This window comes from Homo sapiens, chromosome 4 (genome assembly GCF_000001405.40).
Source record: "Homo sapiens chromosome 4, GRCh38.p14 Primary Assembly".
NCBI classification, from domain to species: Eukaryota; Metazoa; Chordata; class Mammalia; order Primates; family Hominidae; genus Homo; species Homo sapiens.
This window is the reverse complement of record NC_000004.12, coordinates 31,291,055-31,292,394: the sequence shown is the minus strand read 5'-3', so window position 1 is coordinate 31,292,394 and position 1,340 is coordinate 31,291,055. Positions and strand designations below refer to the sequence as shown.

The 1,340-nt window shown below is 33.7% G+C and overlaps 1 annotated feature.

The window, feature by feature from the left end:
- Positions 210–985: an enhancer, noted in NCBI's record as "OCT4-NANOG hESC enhancer chr4:31293032-31293807 (GRCh37/hg19 assembly coordinates)". NCBI's record gives its function as "activates a minimal SCP1, AML or CMV promoter by ChIP-STARR-seq in naive H9 embryonic stem cells {active_cell/tissue: H9 hESC(naive)}" and the evidence as "EXISTENCE:reporter gene assay evidence [ECO:0000049][PMID:30033119]".

The following is a 1,340-nucleotide window of genomic DNA, read 5'->3' as shown; positions in this document are numbered from 1 at the left end:
AAAACAAAGAGTTGTTTTTGAAAAGACAATAACAAGTCTTTAGCTAGACTAAGTAAAAAAAGAGAGAAGAGCCAAAGAAATCAGATCAGAGATGAAAGGAGAGACATTACATCTGATACCACAGAAATACAAAGGATCACAAGAGACTACTATAAACAACTACACACCAACACATTTGATAATATAGAAGAAACAGATACATTTCTGGACACATACAACCTACTAAGATTAAATTATGAAGAAATAGAAAATCTGAACAGACCAATAGGAAGTGAAAACGTTGAGTTGTTAATAAAAAGTCTTTCATCAAAGAAAAGCCCAGGACTTGATGGCTTCACTGTCGAATTCTACCAATCATTTAAAGATAAACTTTAAATTTTCCTCAGAATATTCCAGAAAACCAAAAAGGAGGGAATATTTCTAAACTTATTTTACAAAGCCATCATTATTCTGAGTCCAAAACCAAACAAAGACAAAACAAAACAAAAAATATAAAACCACAAACCAATATTACTGATGAACAAAAATTAAAAATTTCTCAATGAAATACTAGCAAACTGAATCCAAGAGCACATTAAAGAGATCATTCACTATCATCAAGTGGTATTCATCCCAGGGATGTAACGATGTTTTAACATATTCCACTCAATAAATGTGACACACCACGTTAACAGAAAGACAAAAACCATATGATTATCTCAATAGATGTGGGGAAAAAATTGGATAAAATTCAACATCACTTCATAACAAAAATTCTCAGCAAACTAAACATACCATGTATCTTTCTCAGAACAATTAAGGCCATATATAACAAAACTGACAGATAATATAATACTTCATGAAGATATGCTGAAAGCTTTTGCTTACGGATAAGGCACATGCCTTTCACCACCACTCTTAACATAATAATGGAAGTTGTAGCCAGAGCAATTAGGCAAATGAGAGAAATAAATAGCATTCAAACTGTAAAAGAGGAAGTGAAATTGTCTCTGTTTGCACATGACATGATCTTATGTAAAGAAACCCTAAAGACCCCATCAAAACAAACAAACAAAACAATTAGAATGAACAAACAAATGTAGTAAAGTTACAGGATACAAAGTCAACATACAAAAATCAGTAGTGTTTCTACATGCTAAACATGAACTAAAACAATGTCATTTATATAAAGTTAGTGGAGAGAAAGGACAAGAGACAGAGACCCAAGGTCAGGCAAGTGAGTTTATTAACCTGCTGGGCTGCTCCACCAGTCAGAGGAGGCAGCCCTGAGCTTACAAAATGAGGGCTTTACATGGGGGAGAGAGACCCTGGGGTTGCTTGTCAGTTAACTTTACCACATA